This window comes from Homo sapiens, chromosome 2 (assembly GCF_000001405.40).
Source record: "Homo sapiens chromosome 2, GRCh38.p14 Primary Assembly".
Lineage (NCBI taxonomy): Eukaryota > Metazoa > Chordata > Mammalia > Primates > Hominidae > Homo > Homo sapiens.
Window position 1 is genome coordinate 227239974 of NC_000002.12, and position 21413 is coordinate 227261386.

Consider the following 21413-nt stretch of genomic DNA (forward strand, 5'->3'; position numbering starts at 1 on the left):
TGCCTATGTAGTCACTCCTGAGTGCTAATTATGATTTTTTTAATCCAAGGAAAAAACATGCAAAGAGTCACCATGAAGTCATAAACAAGAGAACATAATGGTTATTGGTGTGTTTATTGTGGGATAGTTGCTGCTCTGTGTGTTTCTCACCTCGTTTTGGTTTTAACAGGGGGAGAAGGGCTTTCCTGGACCCCCCGGTTCTCCTGGCCAGAAAGGATTCACAGGTCCTGAAGGCTTGCCTGGACCGCAGGGACCCAAGGTATGTCATCCTGCAAGCTTGGAAAATCCCCAACCCACCTAACCCTCTTCCTGCCTACCCCCTGGCTGCTGCAAACCTGGAGAGAATTCCACATCTTAGCCAACTGCTAGGTGCATGGTGAACTCCTGGTTTCCGGTATTAGTGGGCCACATAGAACCGCAACCTGCTCCAAGACTATTGCAAATGATCATCATTAGCTTCAAGTCTGTGGCTCCAGTTCATCTCCCTCCCTAACCTACAGTGTCTACATCTGCATCTGTTCCTACCTCTATTCCTCCTACAGTGAAAACTCAGAGCTCTTTTTGCTTCTATTCAAGACCTGTCCAACCACCTGTGCCCCATCTTTGGGATTCCTTGTTCCACGAGGTGCCTCCCCTCTCTCCGGACATTCCAACTTTTCTTTTGTTATTGGCTTTTCTCTTTCAGTTCTTAAACATGCAAATATTTTCCATGATAATACAAAACTTCCTCTCCATCTTTTAGGTCTTGTGACCAAAGGATTGCTATCTTCTCCCTGACTTTCCTTTCTCTGTCAAACTTCTTAAAAGAATAGTCAAACATGCTGCCTGTAGTTCATCTACTATTCAGTCCTTAGCAATAATTTGCCTTCTACCACCTCTCCTCTGAAAACACTCCAGCAAAGATCACCAATGACCTTCAAGTGGCCAATGCCAATACATACTTTTGTGTCTTAATCTGACCTGAACCCCTCTGCTTAGTTTCAAATTGTGTGGATCGCTCTCCTCTCCTTGAAACACTTGTCTGTCTTTCTTTCTGTATTTCTCCTGTCTCTCTATCCTTCCCTTCCTTTGTGGGTTTCTCTTTTCCTTCTGGTCCCTTAAACATCCCGAGTCTATGACCCTTCACACTCATCACACATTCTTATCCTAAAGTCTGTGATACAGCAAAGGGCTTTGTTTAAATAAATACCATAGAGGATTTACTAAATAACTGAATAACCACTGGATTTGCTGAGTACTCTTTCCTGCTGTGGACATTAGCTAGACTTAAGCCTGGCTTCTCACGCACCCACACATTCATTCCCCTGACTACTGACCTCCAGCAAGCTATAAACCAACTAATAAGCTATGAAAAATGATTATAATTGATCTATACAGGTCTTTTACAAATTTCATAATATATTAGAATATGTATTAGAGGCCAGACACAGTGGCTCATGCCTGTAATCCCATTGCTCTGGGAGGCTGAGGCAGGAGGATCACTTGAGCCCACGAGTTTGAGGTCAACCTGGGCAACATAAGGAGACCCAGTTTCTACCAAAAATACAAAAATTAGCCAGGTGTGGTGGCATATGCCTGTGGTCTCAGCTACTCAGGAGGCTGAGGTAGGAGGATTGCTTGAGCCCTGGAGGCGGAGGCTGCAGTGAGCCATGATCATGCTACTGCACTCCAGCCTGGGTAATAGAGCGAGACTCCATTAAAAAAATATATACGTGTGTGTATATATATATATGTATTAAAATAATGTATGAAATATGTAAATGATAATCAAAGCCAAAGCCAACCTACTGCATATGTACTCTGTGCCAGGCATTGGGCCATCTATTTCTCCCTGGATCTCATTTACTCCTCACATCAATCCCACAAATCATGACTGTGGTGATTTACAATGTAGTTCCCATCATTACCTCCACTACATGGATGAGAAAACGGACACAGAGCACTTGAGTAATTTTTCCTGGGTCACGCAGCTCACAGGAAGCAAAATCAGAGTTCAAACCTGGTTTGACACTGTGTGTGGGATTTTCCTCAAACCAAACAATTCTCCAACTCTCTGGATGCCAACTGGGTACCCCTCAATTCAGTTATGACATTAAATACCTGGGGTTAGTGCAGACCCCATAGGGTAAGGGCTCAGTCCCACAAGACTGTCCCTGTTTCAGGACTAGTCATAAGTAGTGGGTCCTCAGTTACCCATAATGCCGTCCAACTTGGCTACAAATAAATCAGGGGTTCCCATGACCTCCTCCTCTGCTTTGATAATTTGCTAAAGAGTCTCATAGAACTCATGGGAACATTTATCAGTTTATTATAAGGGATATGAATGAGAGATGAAGAGATACACAGGAGAAGGTCCAGAAGGGTCCCAAGTGCAGGAGCTTCTGTCGCCATGGAGTTAAGGTGCATTACCGTCCTGGAACGTGAACGTTCACCCACCCAGAAGCTCTCTGAACACCATGCTTCAGGGATTCTTATGGAGGTGTCATCATGTGGGCAGGATCAATTATAAACTCAATCTCCAGCTCCGCTTTCCTCACTGAAGGGTGCAGCTGGAGCTCAAAGTTTCAAGCTTCTAATCAAGACTTGGTCTTTCTGATGACCAGCCCCCATCTGGGAGCCCACCAAGAGTTGCCTCCTTAGAACAAAAGACACTTCTATCACCCAGGATATTCCAAGTGAGGTCAAACACCAAATATTAGAACAAAAGATGGTCTTTACTCCCCTATCACTCAGAATATTAGAAGGGTTTTAGGAGCTCTGTGTCAGGAACCAAAGGCACAGAACAAATATGTGTTTCTTATGTCACATATATGATGCCAGAATCAAACTCTTGAAACCACACCCACAGCTTACATGTAAAATGCAAAATCTTGCTGTTTTCCAGTAATCCTGCCATTTCCCTGTCTACCATATCCATGTATGTGTTCTTTTTGTCCATTTCTCCTTCTTCCGATCCTAATTTTGAAAAAGTCATCCAGATTCTGGGCAGAAACTGAACACTGACTTCCTCTAAGGCATGGACCCAGGTTTTCTTCCATTTCTATTGGTAGAACGAGTTTGCCACTTCAACCCTGGACTTAGATCAGCCTAATGCCAATTCCGTTTTTAAAAAAATTGTTATCTGTAGCCTACTCTGTTTAATTCTCTTCAGCATTTCTTTAGAGATGCTGAAATTCATTAAAATAGTCACAAACACATGGCACTTAGTATGGGTTACATGAGTGCAGGCATTCCAGAAGATTAATCCAGAAAACCTGAGTACCATGTTGTCATAGATTGATATTTTAAAGCATGTAAGGCTTACAGATATGTATGAATAGCTACAAAAGATAATACAATCAAAGGCAGACAATTAGAGAATATTAAAACCTGACCAAAAAGATGTTTTAGATTTACAAGATTCCTATCTTAATTTTAAATGTTTTCTGCATGAAAAAAGTTTACAATGAGAAAGTAAAACCTGCAAGTAAAACCTTCTGCTTTCGGCATCACGTGAATAGAATTCTGTGGGAAGGGGAATGGCCTTGAACACAGCCATGCACCCCGGAATTCCGCCATAGATGGGAGAGACTGACTTTGGCCTTGACAGTGCAATCTCAGAGGATTCTGTAACAACCCTTTTCTCAAATAATAACAATAAAATTAAAAATCAAAACATACTGAAACTCTCTGGAATGATGAAAATGGCTTTTGGACAATGAAACTTTCACACCACGTGGCCTAGCTGAAACAGTCACCATTTAAGCTTATTCTCCAAGAAATAGGACGTCGAAACTGAATGCATTACATGCCCAAAGCAAGTTTATCTCTGGTTCAGGCAGTCCTTACTTGGCTATATATTTCCTTGTGCATGTCAGGCACATTTTGTTAATAGAGTGTTTCTTGTGCACAGAAATACTGGCTGGCATTCTCATCCACAACTGTAGTTGTGTCATTCATTTTTATCAGACCTCAGCAGCTGTGAGGCTAATTAGGACTTTTGCACAGACTTTAATGTGCACAAGAATCACTAAAGAATCATGTTAAACATGCAGATTCTCGGTCAATAGTCTGGGAGGTGAGGCAGATCTAAGATTCTACATTTCTGATAAGCTTCCAGGTAATGCTAATGCTGCAGGCCCCAAACCCCACTTTGAGTAGCAAGGGTTTGAATGAATTTTTGTCTTTTCTGATAAACAATTATCAAGTTCCAATGAAATAAGCAAGCAATTGAATCTTATTAACAATGAAATAATCAGAAGGGCAAAACAGCTTGGCATGTGACTGAGACTGGGTTTGATGTATGGGTTTCTTAGTGCCAAATAATTTTCAGAGTGTTTACTTTTTCTTTTTTCACTTGAATCTAGGGCTTTCCAGGACTTCCAGGACTCACGGGTTCCAAAGGTGTAAGGGTTAGTAGTCCAACCAGTCCACCCTGATCGTTAAAAGATCAGCTTTTCACAGTAAGAGTTATACAAATGTCAGAAAGGAGTACACTGTGTATGGTTCCATAGATGAAGTTCAAGAACAGGTAATACTAATCTGTAATGGTAGATGTCAAAGGAGTGGTTACCACATTAGGGGCAAGTGTTAAACTGACCAAGAAAGGCCATGAAGGAACCTCTGGAGTGATAAAGATGCTCTGTGTCTGATGAGATGATGGTATATAAAACTGCACATAGGTCAACCTTTGTTAAGCTGTTCAATTAAGCTGTTCTCAAAAGATTGGAGCACTTCATTGCATGCAAATTGTACCTTAGGAATCGATCCAAAAAAGCCAAAAATAATCTTAATGATATCTTTTTAAGAGTTACATAAATGTGAGATTTACAAAAGTTTGTTAAACCTTTAGTATTTGTTTTCCCAATCGTTTCGAGCTATTCCCAGTTATAGTGGAGGAAAAAGATTATCGCAATGGTAAATAAATTTATGTTTATAGATTGAACATTTTTAAAGTTTTTTTTTTTTGCCACCCCCTCCTTTTTCCTATGTCTTCAGGGAATAAGTGGATTGCCAGGATTTTCTGGTTCTCCTGGACTTCCAGTAAGTAATGGGAAAAATCCGTAGCTAGAAAATTTAAAAGTAAGCTCATTTTAATAAAGATGTTAAAACAGTCGTGCAAGAAAATGTGTTCTGATGCATTTGTTACATGAAGAAAATAGCACCTTAGGATGGTATATTATACTAGTGTGTGGATTTATATGACATATGAGTCAAAATGTACTTCCTGAAATACAAGCAGGACAGGATAGGATAGGGTAGGATAATTAGTAAATTATATGGTAAGTCGGCCCTCCATATCCAGTGATTCCACATCCATGGATTCAACCAACCAACTGTAGATCAAAAATATTTAAAAAAAAACAATAAAAATTGTACAAACCTAAAAACCATTACACTATAACAACTATTTACATAGAATTCACATTGTATTAGGTATTATAAGTAATCTAGAAATGACTTTAAGCATACAGGAGGATATGTATAAGTCATGTGCAAATACGGTACCATTCTATATAAGAGACTTGAGTATCTATGGATTTTGGTATTCATAGGGGTCCTGGAACTAACCCCCACAGGTGCTGAAGGAAACTATATGTTACAAGCTGATAGAATAGGATAGGATAGGGTAGAATGAAATGATTGTATTTAATAGCACAGAATAATAAAATAGTTTCATCTGTGCACACTTTCCTCTTCTTTTTCCCTTCCTTTCTCCCCAGCTTAAAACAGCATGTTAAAGGACTCTTTTATTTTATGGATAAAAGGCGTTTGCTTTATTTGAAATATCCACATCTCATTTGATAAGTCTTCATATCAGTCAGCCTGTTTAGTTTGTTGCTACTGAAATTATATGTAAAACCACAATGTACATTTACTACTTAACCATTTAAACAATCATTTATATTTCAAGAGCTATTTAAATCAGTGCATCTTTTCCCTTGGGTTCAGTGCTGTTTCTTGGGATGACCCTCCTCATTGAGACTTGTTCTTCTTCCAGGGCACCCCAGGCAATACCGGGCCTTACGGACTTGTCGGTGTACCAGGATGCAGTGGTTCTAAGGTAAGTACTTTTCACACAGAAGATGATTAATAAATGCTTTGCTGAATGATTAAATCAAGGTGAAATGGCAATGAAAGGCAGACAGGCTTCCCTTGAAAACATTCCTTTAGGCCAGAACCAACAGCATAATTTGGAGGCAGGAAACTTCCCATTTTCTTTCTTCGCATTCCTTGCTTTCTAATTGTCTTTTAAGGAAAGTTCTCCCACAGAAAGAAAACTTGGAGCTCAACTGGTTGTTTTCATCTGAGGCTGTGTGTATAAATCAGAAACCAAAGCTTTGAGTGCAGAATTAGTTTTGGGGAAGGAATGACTGAGCTTTTCACTGTTCACTCACCTCCTTTTGTTTTCGAACTGAGCTCTCCTTTTCTCCAGAATGGTGGCCATGAATGAACTAATTACTCAAGTTTGAAGGAAACAGCAATTAAAAAGTTCTTGGCGCAATTAGACTTTGCCATTTATGCACAATTTGAGAAACAGTATTCTAATCCTGTTTTTAATTAAGATAATGGTTTTTTGGTCTTCAGCCTCATGACCCAGTAGCCATAAGGAATTCGGGTTACTTTGTCTAGATTTACCATTGCAAGGTTGGAAGCGAGAAACAGGAAAAATATCTGAATAGGCTCTTCTAGAACAACTAAGAATAATAAGAAACTTTGTATGTCTTTTAGGGTGAGCAGGGGTTTCCAGGACTCCCAGGGACACTGGGCTACCCAGGGATCCCGGTAGGTTTGCATGCCTAATTCCCCAACAAAGACATAAAGTATAAATAACAGTGGTCTACTCCATATGGCCATATACACAAATCCGTCATGACTTTAGGGAAGTCTGGGGTAGCCATAGTAGACATTCAACTAATAGTTAGGGAATGGATGAATACATGCATTATGAGTGTAGGATTAGAGGTTGAGGCTTTGTTTTACTTTTGAGACATCCAAGTGGAGATGCATGAGAGGTACTTGGATTCACTCAGAGAAGAGGTTCCAGCTGGTGGTGACTCAAGGAGTCAGAGTGAGGAGAAAAGGGGCTTAGAACTGAGACTTAGCTCCAGCAGTGATGTTGAGATCAAGGAGAATGATCCTGTAAAGGAGGAGCAGCCCTGGTGGGAGAAAGAAAACCAGCAGAGGTGTATTATGGAGGCCCAGGAAACACCTATTGTAGTAGAAGGGAGTGGCAGACAGCTGCTGGATGCTGCTGCAAAGTCCAGTCAGAGGAGTACTGACATGTTGGCATTGGTTTTAGCAACATCAATATCATGTCTGACCTTAGCAAGGGACAATTCCACGGCAGGATGGAGCAGGGGGCAGATTTGGAACTGAGGAATGGGTGGGAAATGAACAAAATGGGAAGTTCACAGGTGAGACGAAGGAGAGACAGGACAATATGGTGGGAAGTAAAAGATTAAGGGAAGACTTTGCTTTGTAAGGCCGTGGGAGGTGTACAGTGGGGAGAGGATACACAATAGCAGAGAGGGCAGAGCAGACCGAGTAGGAGTGTGTGCGTTTGATATTCCTCTAGTTGTTCATAGGTTGCTTTTTTCCTAGGGTGCTGCTGGTTTGAAAGGACAAAAGGTAAGTCATTGGTGGAATGCTGTCACTGAAAATCTCTAACTGTACATATGAAAAGGACGTCTATTAAATAATGAGACTTAAGTCATTACAAATAAGATTTCATAATCCAGACCTTAATCATTCAGAAACAATAATAATCGGGACATGATATTTATTCCTATTAAATAGCTCCTTCTGGCTCTTGTCATAAAGAGTCTTAAGGATACAGGTTTTGTATCACTGTTGAAAGAAATAGGGTCTTGGAGAAGAAAACTGACCTCATGCTCAGGGCCCCACATTCTAGGGCAGGGATTGTCACTATTTTTGGTATCTTGGGAAATGTTTTATTACCCCTGCGTCTTTCTTCTTTCCACTGTAAATTTTTTATTTTTTTGAGATGGAGTCTTGCTCTGTTGCCCAGGCTGGAGTACAGTGGCACGATCTCAGCTCACTGCAACCTCCACCTCCTGGGCTCAAGCGTTTCTTCTGTCTCAGTCTCCCAAGTAACTGGGATTACAAGTGCATGCCACCACGCCCAGCTAATTCTTGTATTTTTAGTAGAAATGGGGTTTTGCCATGTTGGCCAGGCTGGTCTTGAACTCCTGACCTCGGGTGATCTGCCCGTTTTGATCTCCCAAAGTGCTGGGATTACAGGCATGTGCCACTGTACTGGGCCCACTGTAAATTTTTGATTTTAGAAAATATGAAAATGCTTTGAATTCTTCATAATGGAATAATTACAAAATCATAAATCATTTCTCTGAGTACATAACTTGAAAAGCATTTTTATCTTTGAAGAAATATAACTTTGAATAAGCACTTGAAGGGGTTTTGAAAATATAACATTGATGATGTTTGATGAACTTCTTCATTTTCAAGGGTGCTCCTGCTAAAGAAGAAGATATAGAACTTGATGCAAAAGGCGACCCCGGGTTGCCAGGGGCTCCAGGACCCCAGGTACAGCACTTCAGAGAAGGTCCCTATTATTCTCAGTTTTTCACTCTCTCTCTCTCTTTTCGCCTCTCTTTACTTCGTCTCTCTTTTCCCCCATAAGTCCCTCTCACTCTCTTAAGAAGATTTTAAATAGAAATTCCTATTTATTCTATTTACATGTCTGGCCTCATTTCATTCTAAAGCTTTCACCCTATTCTGGAAAACTACATGATGCTGATATGCAAAGATGATTTGAGTATGTTTTTCGTCCTCTTCTTCACTCTCAGTCACCAAGCTTGCCTGAATCTAACAGGAATAGTTATGTACCACTTAATTTGTATTTGTTGAAAATAAGGGTAGCTTTGTATCACACATTGAGTATCATTTAAATCTGTAATTTTAAATAACAGCCCTATTTTAAAATTTGCATAATGATAAATAAAAGGTTTTTATTTAAATGCAACTCTCTCCAGTTGAAGTTGAGATAATAAAGAAAAGAAAGGTTTTTGTTTAAATGCAACTCTCTCCAGTTGAAGTGTTTGCTTTTCTGATTTATATGTACGTAGCCTGAGTATGATCCAAAAGGGATACAAAGAGACACAACTGCCTTTGGGGCTGTGTGTGCTTTCCTTTGTGATTCAAAAAGACCCTTTCATAGACCTAAACCACAAGTGCTAACTTTCAGGTTATAATTATATATAACCAAAATTAGCTAGTATATATATATATATATATTTTTTTTTTTTTTTTTTTTTTTGAGAAGGAGTCTGGCTCTGTCGCCCAGGCTGGAGTGCAGTGGTGCAATCTTGGGTCACTGCAACCACCACCTCCCGGATTCAAGCAATTCTCCTGCCTCAGCCTCCTGAGTAGCTGGGACTACACGCATGGGCCACCATGCCCTGCTAATTTTTGTATTTTTAGTAGAGATGGGGTTTCACCATGTTGGCCAGGCTGGTCTCGAGCTCCCGACCTCAGGTGATCCACCAACTTCAGCCTCCCAAAGTGCTGGGATTACAGGCATAAGCCAACACGCCCAGCCAATTAACCAGAATTATTTTAACTTAGTTCAGAATTATATGTAAAAATTCCTGGGTAGAGATGGGATATTTGCCTAAGTGAGTTTGAGGTGAGGCTGTTGAAATCCTGTATGGTGCGCTATCCTAACTGAGGATGTGAAGTTAGATTAGGAGCTGCAAAAAATGCAGAATGATGCAATTAGGAGCCATTATAGGCTTCTGAAAAGAGATGCAAGATATGATGGCTCTCGCTTTTTTGCTTAGAAAACATTTAAGAGTCCAGATGCTGAAGGCAGGGGATCCAGGAAGAAGAGATAATAGTAATCTGAGATATTGATACATTCTTTAAATGTGTATTGATTATCGTATATGTATTAGTCATTGTGATGATGCTGAAGATATAATGATGGTACATTTGATTACACAAGAAATATTTTTTACCTGCCAATTATGTGCTAGGGGCTATTTCTAGGCTCTAGGAATACAGTAGGGCATAAATCAGCCAAAATATAGATTTAAGGCTGGGCACAGTGCTCACACCTGTAATCCCAGCACTTTGGGAGGCCAAGGCAGGAGGATCACTTGAGGTCAGGAGTTTGAGACCAGCCTGGCCAACACGCTGAAACTCCATCTCTACTAAAGACACAAAAATTAGCCAGGTGTGGTGGCGTGCGCCTGTAGTTCCAGCTACTTGGGAGGCTGAGGCAGGAGAATCACTTGAACCCGGGAGGCAGAGGCTGCAGTGAGCAGAGATCGTACCACTGCACTCCAGCCTGAGGACAGAATGAGACTCTGTCTCAAAAAAATAGGTAGATAGATAAAAGATGATAGATAGATAGATAGATAGATAGATAGATAGATAGATAGATAGATATTTAAAAATTGTATGAACCAGGCATGGTGGCATGTGCCTGTAGTCCCAGCTACTTGGGAAAGCTGAGACAGGAAGGTCTCTTGAGCCTAGTTATAGGCCAGCCTGGGCAACACAGCAAGACCCAGTCTCTTAAAATATATATATATATTGCCTTCATAGAGCTTACATTCTCATGGGGGAAACAAAAGCGTGTAAATGAGTAACTCTATGGTGTGTGAGTAATAAATGCTAAAAGTAAAAATAATGCACGAAAGCAGGATAGGAAGTGTCTGGGTTGGAAGGTGGGTTACAACTTTGGATAAGCAGGAAGGCTTTATGGAAAGGATGACAATTGCATAAAGACAAGAAAAGGAAAAGGGAGTGAGTTATACTGATACCTGGGAAAAGGGGATTCTAGGCAGAGGGAGAGCAGGTGGCAGGCCCTAACGTAGGAGCATGCTTGGCCAAAATGAGAGAGAAAGGAAAAGGGAGAAGAAAAGAGGTGGGAAGAAAGAGAAAAGCAAAATTTTGAAACGTCTGAAGTAAAGCAACTACTTTGGTCATTTTAGAAATGTTATCGTCCAGTTGGTCCTGCCAGCCTGTTACACATGGCAACACTTTTTGATGTTTGTTATCATTAGCTGCAGCCACTGAAAGGGGAGGTGTTATGCTCTTCTGATTTTATTAAAATATTTTAATGCATTTAATTAATGGACATTGTTATTAAGTGAGAAGTAAATTTAAACTTACTCTTATTCTTCTCTCAATTTCAAGGGTTTGCCAGGCCCTCCAGGTTTTCCTGGGCCTGTTGGCCCACCTGGTCCTCCGGGATTCTTTGTGAGTATCAAGTCATCCTTGCTACAGACTCTGTCAACTAATAGATTCATTATTTATTATTAAAAAGTTATTAAAAGAATTTTTCTGGTTGGATGCATTTCCTGCTGTGATTTTCATTTGTGGATTTTTCTAGGGCTTTCCAGGAGCCATGGGACCTAGAGGACCTAAGGTAGACTACAGTTCATATGATGTAACAGCTAGCACACCCTACTCAATCTCAAAGCCAAACCTGGTCTGCTTCTTCATGTGGGTCACTGTTAGGCACCTCTCTGGAACTCACAAGGATCCCTAGCAGGGAAGAGCATGGCTAGCTGCTCTCACCTCTTTTCTCCTTGCATTTCAGTACCTTGATCCCTGATACAAAGAATCTTAATTCAATTTATAAGAAGCTACTTATCACGAAAAAAGGCAAGGATTCTTAATCCACAGGTTTTCCATTTCTGATCATCTCACACAGCACATTATCCTCTGAGTTTTTGTAGTGTGCTGCTTCACAAAGCCAACCTGGTCTTATGCTAGTAAGTAAAAGATGACTATTTGTGTGCTCATTACACAGGGTCTTGCATGCATTTCTGTTAAGACCAGCCCAGGCGCATTGGTTCACACCTGTAAGCCCAGCACTTTGGGAGGCCAAGGTGGGTGGATCACTTGAGGTCAGGAGTTCGAGGCCAGCCTGGCCAATGTGATGAAATCCCATCTCTACTAAAAATACAAAAATTAGCCGGGCATGGTGGTGCATGCCTGTAATCCCAGCTACTCAGGGGGCTGAGGCAGGAAAATCGCTTGAACCTGGGAGTTGGAGTTTGCAGTGAGCCAAGATAGCACCACTGCACTCCAGCCTGGGTGACAGAAAGAGGCACCATCTCAAAAAAAAAAAAAAAAAAAAAAACAGAAGTGCAATTGTTAGTTTAACTATAAAAATGTTGAGTGAGGCTGAGCCCCAACAGGAAATTGGTCCTAAACACAGTATCTCCTACTATCAGGTAGCCTTTTATTTTATTCTTTCTTTCTTTTTTTTTTTTTTTTTTTGAGATGGAGTCTCACTCTGTTGCCCAGGCTGGAGTGTAGTGGTGCGATCTCGGCTCACTGCAACCTCCATCTCCCGGGTTCAAGCAATTCTCCTGCCTCAGCCTCCCGACTAAGTGGAATTACAGGTGTGCATCACCACTCCCAGCTAATGCTTTTGTATTTTTGGTAGAGACAGGGTCTTACCATGTTGGCCAGGCTGGTCTCAAACTCCCGACCTCAGGTGATCCGCCCGCCTCAGCCTCCCAAAGTGCTGGAATTACAGGCATGAGCCACTATGCCCGGCTTGGGTAGCCTTTTATATGAGGTATTTTCCAAGATACTTTCATATTTATTATCTCATTGATACACACAAATGCACACACACACACACACACACACACACACACACACTCATGCATGCACGCACCCTGAGAGATGGATAGGTTCTGGTTAAGTGAATTTTCCAATAGACAGTACATGGCAGAGCTGAGGTTTAAAGTGTTTTGATCTAGCTTTGGTCTAACAAGGGGAAGATCTGCATACTCAGTGGTGAAAAAGCAAGCAGATATGAGTTGAAATGATGGATCAGCCATCATTAGTGAAGAAACTATTCGCATTAGACTCATGTCACTAAATTACTAGTGAAGTCGGTAGCTGGAATTCTATTCTTAGATTCTCTATTAAGTATTGAATTTCAGAATCCTGAAATGCAGCTACCCATTCTTATTTTTAAAACAAGAAAACAAGAGCATCAGGAAGTTAAGTAGCCGGCCAGTGGGATTAAAACTAGCTAATGCAGAGCCAGAAAAATATGCTCTGAGCTGGGCTCCTTTCCCTCCCCCACACCACTGCATGTCAGCATTTGCCATGTTAGGTAAATCCCTTAAGCTTTCTGCACCTTAAGAGCTCCTCCTTTAAAAGAAACATATCAATGCTCTTCTCTAAGAAATAGCTAAAATATGTATCATTCTAAAATGAAAGTTAAAATATAAATGCTCCCTTACAAATATTGGAACTTTGATGGGTTTAGACTATTTATTCATATTTATTTTTAGAAAATAATTTGGTTTTGTGTTTTCTTACAGGGTCACATGGGTGAAAGAGTGATAGGACATAAAGGAGAGCGGGTAATTTAAATACTATGTTTTATTAGCAGGCGAGATATTTTATGTCCCAGAGCATATCAGCCTATACCGTTTACTTACGGGCCAAGCTGAAATTGATGGGCCTTCATTTGTTCTATCTTCCCGTATAAGCACTAAAGGGGAAAAGTAGACCTTTCAAACGTAGTAACATTGAAATGTTGATGCTGTTGTTTATTTTCTCACTCCTGAGTGTTTTTGTCTTTAGGGTGTGAAAGGGTTAACAGGACCCCCGGGACCACCAGGAACAGTTATTGTGACCCTAACTGGCCCAGATAACAGAACGGTAACTCTGCGATTTTATGATTAGTGTTGTGCCTTCCCGTGTCTAGGATGAAGTCCTTGTGACCCTGCACCTCTTTTACAAGCTCTTGTTATCTAAGTCCAGCTCAGCCCAGCTCCCTCAGCCAGCCAGAACCTCCAGGATTGATTCCTTCCCGTCCTTTACTCATAAATCCTGGAAATATTACATGGGGAAGATCTGAGGCTCCAGCTTGGGCAACAGAGTGAGACTTCATTTAAAAAAAAAAACAACAAAAAAAAGATACTTAAAAAAAAGCTTGCAGGTAGTTTCAGTGAGTTCGCAGGTATAAAATTTGAAATGTGAGAAATGGAAGGTGTATTGGGTTGTGTTAACACGAGGCACATTCATAGTTTGTAAACCCAGTTTATTGAACAGATAGAGGATTTGTCCCACTGTTGAATCAGTGAAATCTCATTTCATCCATTTGTAACAATGTTGAACTGTTTCTTTGGCAGGACCTCAAGGGGGAAAAGGGAGACAAGGGAGCAATGGGCGAGCCTGGACCTCCTGGACCCTCAGTAGGTTATTTAAAGTTATATTGTCCCCATAACACATAAAGTAGAGCCTTAGTATTTACTTTGATGTGTGTTTTGTCTTAAGTTGTTTTTTTTTTTAAAGAAAGTAAAGGAATAAAAGAATGGCTACTCCACAGGCAGAGCAGCTATTGCTTTTAAGTCTTAATATTGGCTAAAATACAATAACATTTGACCGCAGAGATCATGAATACACTAGAGTTATTTTACGGCCACTCCTAGCTGAAATCCTTGCACTGCTGTACATGCACCCAATGCCACCCATCCTATGACTTATCTTCAGCATCAGCTTTTTTAGCATCTGTTTTTTAATTACTATTCATCAATAAGATTTCTCTCTTAGATGGCTCAGCACTGAAACATGTTTTTAAATGGCAGAATAACCAAAAGGGACAAATTAATAAAAATCAATGTAAGTAAAAAAATCAGTAATTCATAAAATTTGACATGGCTCTAATTAATACAGGGACTGCCTGGAGAATCATATGGATCTGAAAAGGGTGCTCCTGGAGACCCTGGCCTGCAGGTAAATTTGGAAATTCGGTGTCATGTGCAGTTTTGATTAGTCAGGACTTGGGACTCTTTAGGTTACAGGAACAAGATGCCCAACTCAAACTAGCTCAAGCTAAAAATTTCTGTTCTTTAAGATTTGGGAGGCAGGATTTACTTACTCAAGTATCTAAGACGTTCAAGGCTAAAACAGGGTTCAAGGACTTCAGAGCCTGAAAACATAAGGGCAGGACTCCCTCTCCATCTCACTTCTGCTTCTCTCTGCATATCAGCCTCATTCTCTCCTCTGGCAGATGATCTTCCATGTCAGGGGAGATGGGGAGAAAGAGCTACCCTGCAGCAGACAACTTCAGGCTAATGGCATTAGAGGAGAAAGAGAGCATATTTCTCCCTGTGTCCATTTATAAAATCCCAGGGAATTCATCTCATTGGCCCAGCTTGGTCATATCTGGTCTCACTCTGGATAAAAGGCAGTGACCAAGAGAAAAGGGTACTATAATTGGCCAGGCCAGTGGGGCAGTGGGCTACTGAGACTGACAGTGCCATCAGAACCACCCAGAGGGAGGGAAGAGCAGCCCCCACAAAGGAAATAGGGCAATCTGTGACCAGAAGTGGGCAGCTGGAAAAACGGAAGCAGCAGGGGCCCCCACTACCCCACCCAGATCCATTTTGGAAAGATTTAAATCCATATATTGTGTTAAATCTCTAAAAGTTATACATTTGGAAAAGTAAAATCTACAAAACTTATACATAAGCAAAGAATGTATTTTTTGGCCTGAGAAAAAATATTCAATGAACATGATTTTTAAATTTTATCAGGAAGGGCAAATACCATAAAAGTCAATCCAAACTGCCGGTTGAGATACCACACTATATCTTTTATACATATATTTAAATATAGGCAGACCTGGGGTCCAAGGAATTACCAATATTTCAAATAAATAAATAAATGGACTGTAAACACCTTCCTTTTTCTAGGCTTCCTTATTTACTTCTCTGCCCAGTGTGTGTGTGTTTTTTTTTTCCCTTCCAAGTTTAGAATGAACAGCATCAGCTCTAATTTAAGTTTGGCTGTTAATGTCCTTCCTTCCTTCTCTGACTTTCTCCAGTTTCCCATTCTGACTGGCTTCTGCTTTCCCTGGAAAGAGAGGGCCATTGTGTATTCTGTGGTTAATAGTTTTTCCTTCTAACACCTGGGTGAAGATCTTTACTCAGGCTTTTCATGCCTGAGGTCAAGAGGAGATGATCATATCACTTAAGATTTCCGTATTTGTAAAGTTAGCCATATTTATTACATTTCATGTTTTTGATTTGTTTTTGCTGTAGGGAAAACCCGGAAAAGATGGTGTTCCTGGCTTCCCTGGAAGTGAGGTATAGAGTTGATTTGGCCTATGGAGGTAGTAAAAATGTCAGTCCTACTAGCTGAAGAAGGATTTTTTAAAATCACTAAATAGTTATAAACAAACAAAAAGCTTACAGCTTTTAAAAACTGCATTTGGGAATCATAGTTTTACATCCCCACTGTGAAGAGAGATCATCTGAGCACATTCTTTTGTTTCAGAGGAGTTCAAATTGCACCTGCTCCCCCAGAAGAAGTTGGCTCCTGTGTCTTCTGACCCATTTCTTTTTGTTCTTTTCTTTAGGGAGTCAAGGGCAACAGGGGTTTCCCTGGGTTAATGGGTGAAGATGGCATTAAGGTAATCCTCTCCCTAATAGCCTATTTTAATAGGTTGGGTTTTGCCTGTGCTTTTACTTTTACCTCCAACCCTGGACCTAAGTACAAGGGATTACAATAACAGACTTCATTCAAATACCCTACTAGGTCTGTTAAGAAGAAAAGAGAGATGTGGCAACTTTACTTAAACATTTGAAGGGTGTTCTTGAGGAAAAGGTATTAAACTTGTACTGTGTACTTGAAGCTGTCTGACTTAGGACCAGTGAGAGTGCAGCTTCCCATGAGGAAGAGGTTGAAAAAATCCTACAATTGTAGGAAGTTTGTGGTTATTTGAGATCAAGCATAGGCTAGAGTTCATGAGTCTTAATCTGAGTCATGATACATTGAAAGGTCATGATCAATTAGTTGTGAACTGTATTCTGCCCTTCTGACAATATGTTACAAATATTTTCAAATCATGTGTAGTCATGTGTTGCTTCAAGATAGGGTTATGTCCTGAGAAATGCATCATTAGGTGATTCTGTCATTGTGTGAACATCATAGAGTGTACTCACACAAACCTAGATGGCAGAGACTGTTGCTCCTGGACTACAAACCTGCACAGCATGTTACTGTACTGAATAATGTAGGCAATTGTAACACAAAGGTGGGTATTTGTGTATCTAAACATAGAAAATATGTAGTAAAAATGTGATATTATAATTTTATGAGACCACTATCATATACACAGTCCATCACTGACCCAAACATTGTCATGTGGCACATGGCTATATATGTAGGTATATGTGCAGAGTCAAGATTTACCCTTTAATAGTATCACTTCCAGTAGAATTCTGAAATGACTTCTTGAAGGAAAGGGGGTTGGTTACAGCTGGGACACTTGGAAATGCATACACCCCACAGACTGATATTCCTGTGCCTCTGACCTGGGTGAGAACACAGGAACATGCAATGAACATGAACAAGCATTGCAGATGGTGTTGTGAAAGAAACCTGGAGAACCACCAGGGCAATAACTACTTCTGTACAACCTTGTAGATGGGATTCCTTACCCAGATACGCGCTCTCCAGGAAAATAATTTAAAGTCAGTGTCTCTTTAACTTTAATTTGGTTTGTACATGACATCTACATATCAATATATTGTTCATTTTAACTGTACATCTTGCTTTTTATATGTAAATACTTTGGGTGACCATATTCACAATTTGTAAATGTCTTTCACTGTAGGGACAGAAAGGGGACATTGGCCCTCCAGGATTTCGTGGTCCAGTAAGTGTGATTAAAGACAATATCAATGCTATGTTTGATCAAGTTCTTTAAAGTAGCAAGGAAATTTTGAATCAGTGTCTCTCATTAACTGTGTGAGAGAGATTATAACATTTACCTTGTTGTCAAACCAGGGCAGAAAATAGCTGGTCACTATGTGTCCCTTTGACCACGGGTAAATATTTCTATTTGGTCCCTGGAAGGCACTAGTGATGCCCATGATGGGCTATGGAAGAGAAGAAAAGCTTTGTCTAAGCAGCCCAGGCCCAAGGTGATCCTGCCCCTTCAGGGTAGAGGACAGTGAGACAACAAGGGATGAAGAAGTCAACTTCTCCTCCCTCCACCTGGGCCCGGGTTATGACAACGTGTTTAATACATGGTCAGCAAAAAGCAATCATTCCGGCCCAAGCTCTGTGTAGCAGGCAGTGCTCCCCTTCCCAGTGGACATGTATTTGATGTCAGCTCCTAACTGCAGAGCAGCCACATTTTATATTCTGTGACTCTGCAGCTGACGAAAAGGAGAAAGGGGACCCGGACTCTGAGTGCTGGTGTCCATTCATCTCCTACCTCAAAAAACAGTGGTTCTCACATTCAGTGCGCCAAGCAAGGCTGTCGTGAATGGTCATGCAGGTTAAACAAAACGGCACATGGTGGCAAAAGGGTCATGAGGGGAAGGGGTGTCCTGTTAAAAATGCAGTTCTCAGACCCCCATGCTCAGTAATGTAACTCAGGAATTGGAGTGGGGCCTGGAAATCTGCATCTTTACACTGGATGCATAGAGCCCCTGTCTTAGTCTGTTCTTTGCTGCTACAATAGAATACCTGAGACTGAGTAATTTGTAAAGAACAGAAATTTATTTTCACAGTTCTAGAGGCTGGGAAGTCCAAAATCAAGATGCTGACCCTTGGTCTGGTGAGGGCTTTTTTGGCTGCATCCTCACATGGCAGAAAGCAGAAGGGCAAGCTGACCTGAGGCTGCTCAAAGCCTCTTTTAATAGGGCCTTAATCCCATTAATGAGAGAGAAACACTCATGGCCTAATCACCTCCTACAGACCCTACCTCTTACTTCTATCACATTGATAACACCTGAATTTTGGAGGGAGCACATTCAAACTATAGCAGTTCCTAAATACTTTAGTGGAGTTGCCAGGAAGATTAAATAAGTATTTTGTGAAATCACTTAGCACTGTGCCCAACACTTGGTAGGTGCACGCATATCATTACAGATTTCATGGTGGACATTATTATGTTATATTATTAATATAATACTTTTGTGATTTTATATATATTGCTTAACCACAAGACTCTTGTTAAATAAGTCAACAAAGTAATTGATCCATCTAGCATATGAAAAAGCAAAGAGGTTTTTTTTTTTTCAAACCTTTGATATTTCCACCTTTTTTCCTTCAAGATAAATATACTGAATGCTAAATGAAATCTACCTTTTCATTACATTTCAGAGGAATTCTTAGCACTCTTCACTGTATATTTTCTTATATTCAATTCCATATAATTCTGTTTGCAGCTTCTACTAACCTCAAAAGAAGTTCCACTTAGGAAGGAAATGGTTAAGAACACCAGCAGTAGGTCCACTGAGCATGTCAGAAACAATATTCCTCGATTCTTGCAGGTCAAGGATTCCCTGGAATTTAAAGAAACAATAAATACAGTATTTTTTGATGTGTGGGTTCCATACACTTCCAAAATGGAAATAAGTTCAGTCCACCAGGACCAGCAATTTTGAAAAGTGAAGTAGAATAGAATAAAAAGTATCAGGGTTGATCATATGTTGTAATAATAAGTCATTATTTTGTGAAACTTTAATTTTTCTATACATATACACACATACATAGGTATGTATGAATGTGTACATATAAATGTGGGTGTGTAAACTGAGTCACATCATAAAATGTATTTCTAATTGAAAGCCCATAAAATATCTGATACTGTGATACCACAAAGGTCTACTTATTTAAATTTTTCCACCTACATTTACATGACTATCATATACCTGCTAACATGTAAACCTATGAATTCAGGAAAATAAGGAAGCCATCTTTGGGCCAAAATGAAGAAACTGAAGTAATGATGTTTGGTGAGCTGTCCATAAATAGCTATCCTTTCTCTGTATTTGTTTCTTTCTCCTCTAAGACAGAATATTATGACACATACCAGGAAAAGGGAGATGAAGGCACTCCAGGCCCACCAGGGCCCAGAGGAGCTCGTGGCCCACAAGGTAAGAATAAATTTCTTCCTAAAGCATTTGCTGAACATATTTCTGGCTTTCTTTCAAGGTAATAAATAGCATGTGCTTATGGAATTGACATGGGTGAGGAAAGGGAACAGAGATCTCTTCATTTTCATAAAGGTGTTATTTTTTGATGTCTCCTGCTCTTCATATTTTTATTTCATAGGTTGTATACCAGGAAGGTAATTAAATTATCTTTATGTAGCAAAACATAAAGTTCAAATCTGTCATGGAAACATTTGCTGGAGGGCAGGAGGAGGGAGTGCAAGGCATTGGCAATCTCAATGGGATTACGAAGGGAAAAATGGAGACCGCGAACAAACTCACACAGAGATGTGCAAGGGGGAACTGAAACCCTGGTTTCCTGATGCTTGAAGCAATGATCTGTCCTTGATGCCGTGAATTATTGTCACATGTACTTATGCTGTATCACTTTGGAGAAATCCAAAAGTTCTGGGCCAATCCCTCTCATCTCTGGCTACATATTGAAAACCCTGGGAACTTCTATAATGGCCTCGTCAAGGTCCCACCCTGTGATTCTGATTTCATTGTCTGGAGGAGGGCTCTGGACACTAGAAGATTGTAAAAACTCCCTGGACTAGTCCAATGTGCAGCCAGGATTGGGAGCCACTGATCTAGACAAATTATTGCTATGAAGAAGATTTCAAAGGAAATTCTACTTAAAAGAATAAAATTTCCCAGTGTATTTAAATAAAAGGACAGATGAATACAGACATTGATATAGATTTTCTTAAAAATCTGGTACACTTACTGTAAATCACTCACATGTATATATAAAGGAATTATAACCCCCAGAATATTACAGATGGAAGCAATCTAAGATGGAACACCAAGACAAACTGCTATCCTGGATGTTCCAGCACTGTTTGATTTTCTGGTGTCTACACTTCCAGCAAAGTGCTAAACACAGAGCAGGCTCTTAGTAAATCTAGGCTGAATTATGTGAAAATGATAAGGCAGCATGATTTACTTTTGAGTGTTAGACTTCCAAGATTAGTTTTCTCTTGTCTAAATAAGTGAAAATTTCTGATATTTGTCTAGGTGAGAGTAGGAAAAAAGTATGAAAACTCTGTATTATTAACTATCAGTATATTGTCACCCAAGATTCCAAAAGTGGATGGGACAGCATTTATATCTTTCTAAGCAATTAATTAATGTTATATATTCCCAGGTCCCAGTGGTCCCCCCGGAGTTCCTGGAAGTCCTGGTATGTCCATGTTTCTTGGGGTACAAATAGAAATGCTATTACAAAGGAAAATAAGCTGTCCTCTATTAAGTTTACATTATTTACATAAGACAAATGTTTCATTAACTGATCTAGAAGTGTTTCCAGGCTGGGTTCAATGGCTCACGCCTGTAATCCCAGCATTTTGGGAGACCACGGCAGGTGGATCACCTGAGGTCAGGAGTTCGAGACCAGCCTGGCAAACATGGCAAAACCCCGTCTCTACTAAAAATACAAAAAAATTAGCTGGG

The 21413-nt window shown here is 40.3% G+C and overlaps 1 protein-coding gene and 1 long non-coding RNA gene across 9 annotated transcripts in view; one reads left to right on the forward strand and one right to left on the reverse strand.

Annotated features, from left to right (window-relative positions):
* COL4A3 (collagen type IV alpha 3 chain) overlaps positions 1–21413 on the forward strand; it is a 150169-nt gene that overhangs the window by 75350 nt on the left and 53406 nt on the right. For all 8 annotated transcript variants that reach the window (XR_001738601.2, NM_000091.5, XM_005246277.4 and 5 more), the window contains exons 3-20: positions 170–259; positions 4347–4391; positions 4978–5022; positions 5981–6043; positions 6712–6765; positions 7585–7611; positions 8470–8547; positions 11167–11229; positions 11363–11398; positions 13323–13364; positions 13588–13665; positions 14139–14201; positions 14683–14742; positions 16053–16097; positions 16370–16423; positions 17630–17671; positions 19820–19904; positions 21109–21144. Coding sequence is in view for 7 of the 8 variants with exons in the window: in NM_000091.5 (NP_000082.2) it covers positions 170–259; positions 4347–4391; positions 4978–5022; positions 5981–6043; positions 6712–6765; positions 7585–7611; positions 8470–8547; positions 11167–11229; positions 11363–11398; positions 13323–13364; positions 13588–13665; positions 14139–14201; positions 14683–14742; positions 16053–16097; positions 16370–16423; positions 17630–17671; positions 19820–19904; positions 21109–21144 (1006 nt within the window). In the remaining variant the exon portion in view is untranslated. The remainder of the gene's footprint in view (positions 1–169; positions 260–4346; positions 4392–4977; positions 5023–5980; positions 6044–6711; positions 6766–7584; positions 7612–8469; positions 8548–11166; positions 11230–11362; positions 11399–13322; positions 13365–13587; positions 13666–14138; positions 14202–14682; positions 14743–16052; positions 16098–16369; positions 16424–17629; positions 17672–19819; positions 19905–21108; positions 21145–21413) is intronic.
* Positions 1–21413, reverse strand: part of MFF-DT (MFF divergent transcript) — a 104113-nt gene that overhangs the window by 18922 nt on the left and 63778 nt on the right. Inside the window, exon 9 of the long non-coding RNA NR_102371.1 lies at positions 19205–19310. This is a non-coding gene — a long non-coding RNA (MFF divergent transcript). The remainder of the gene's footprint in view (positions 1–19204; positions 19311–21413) is intronic.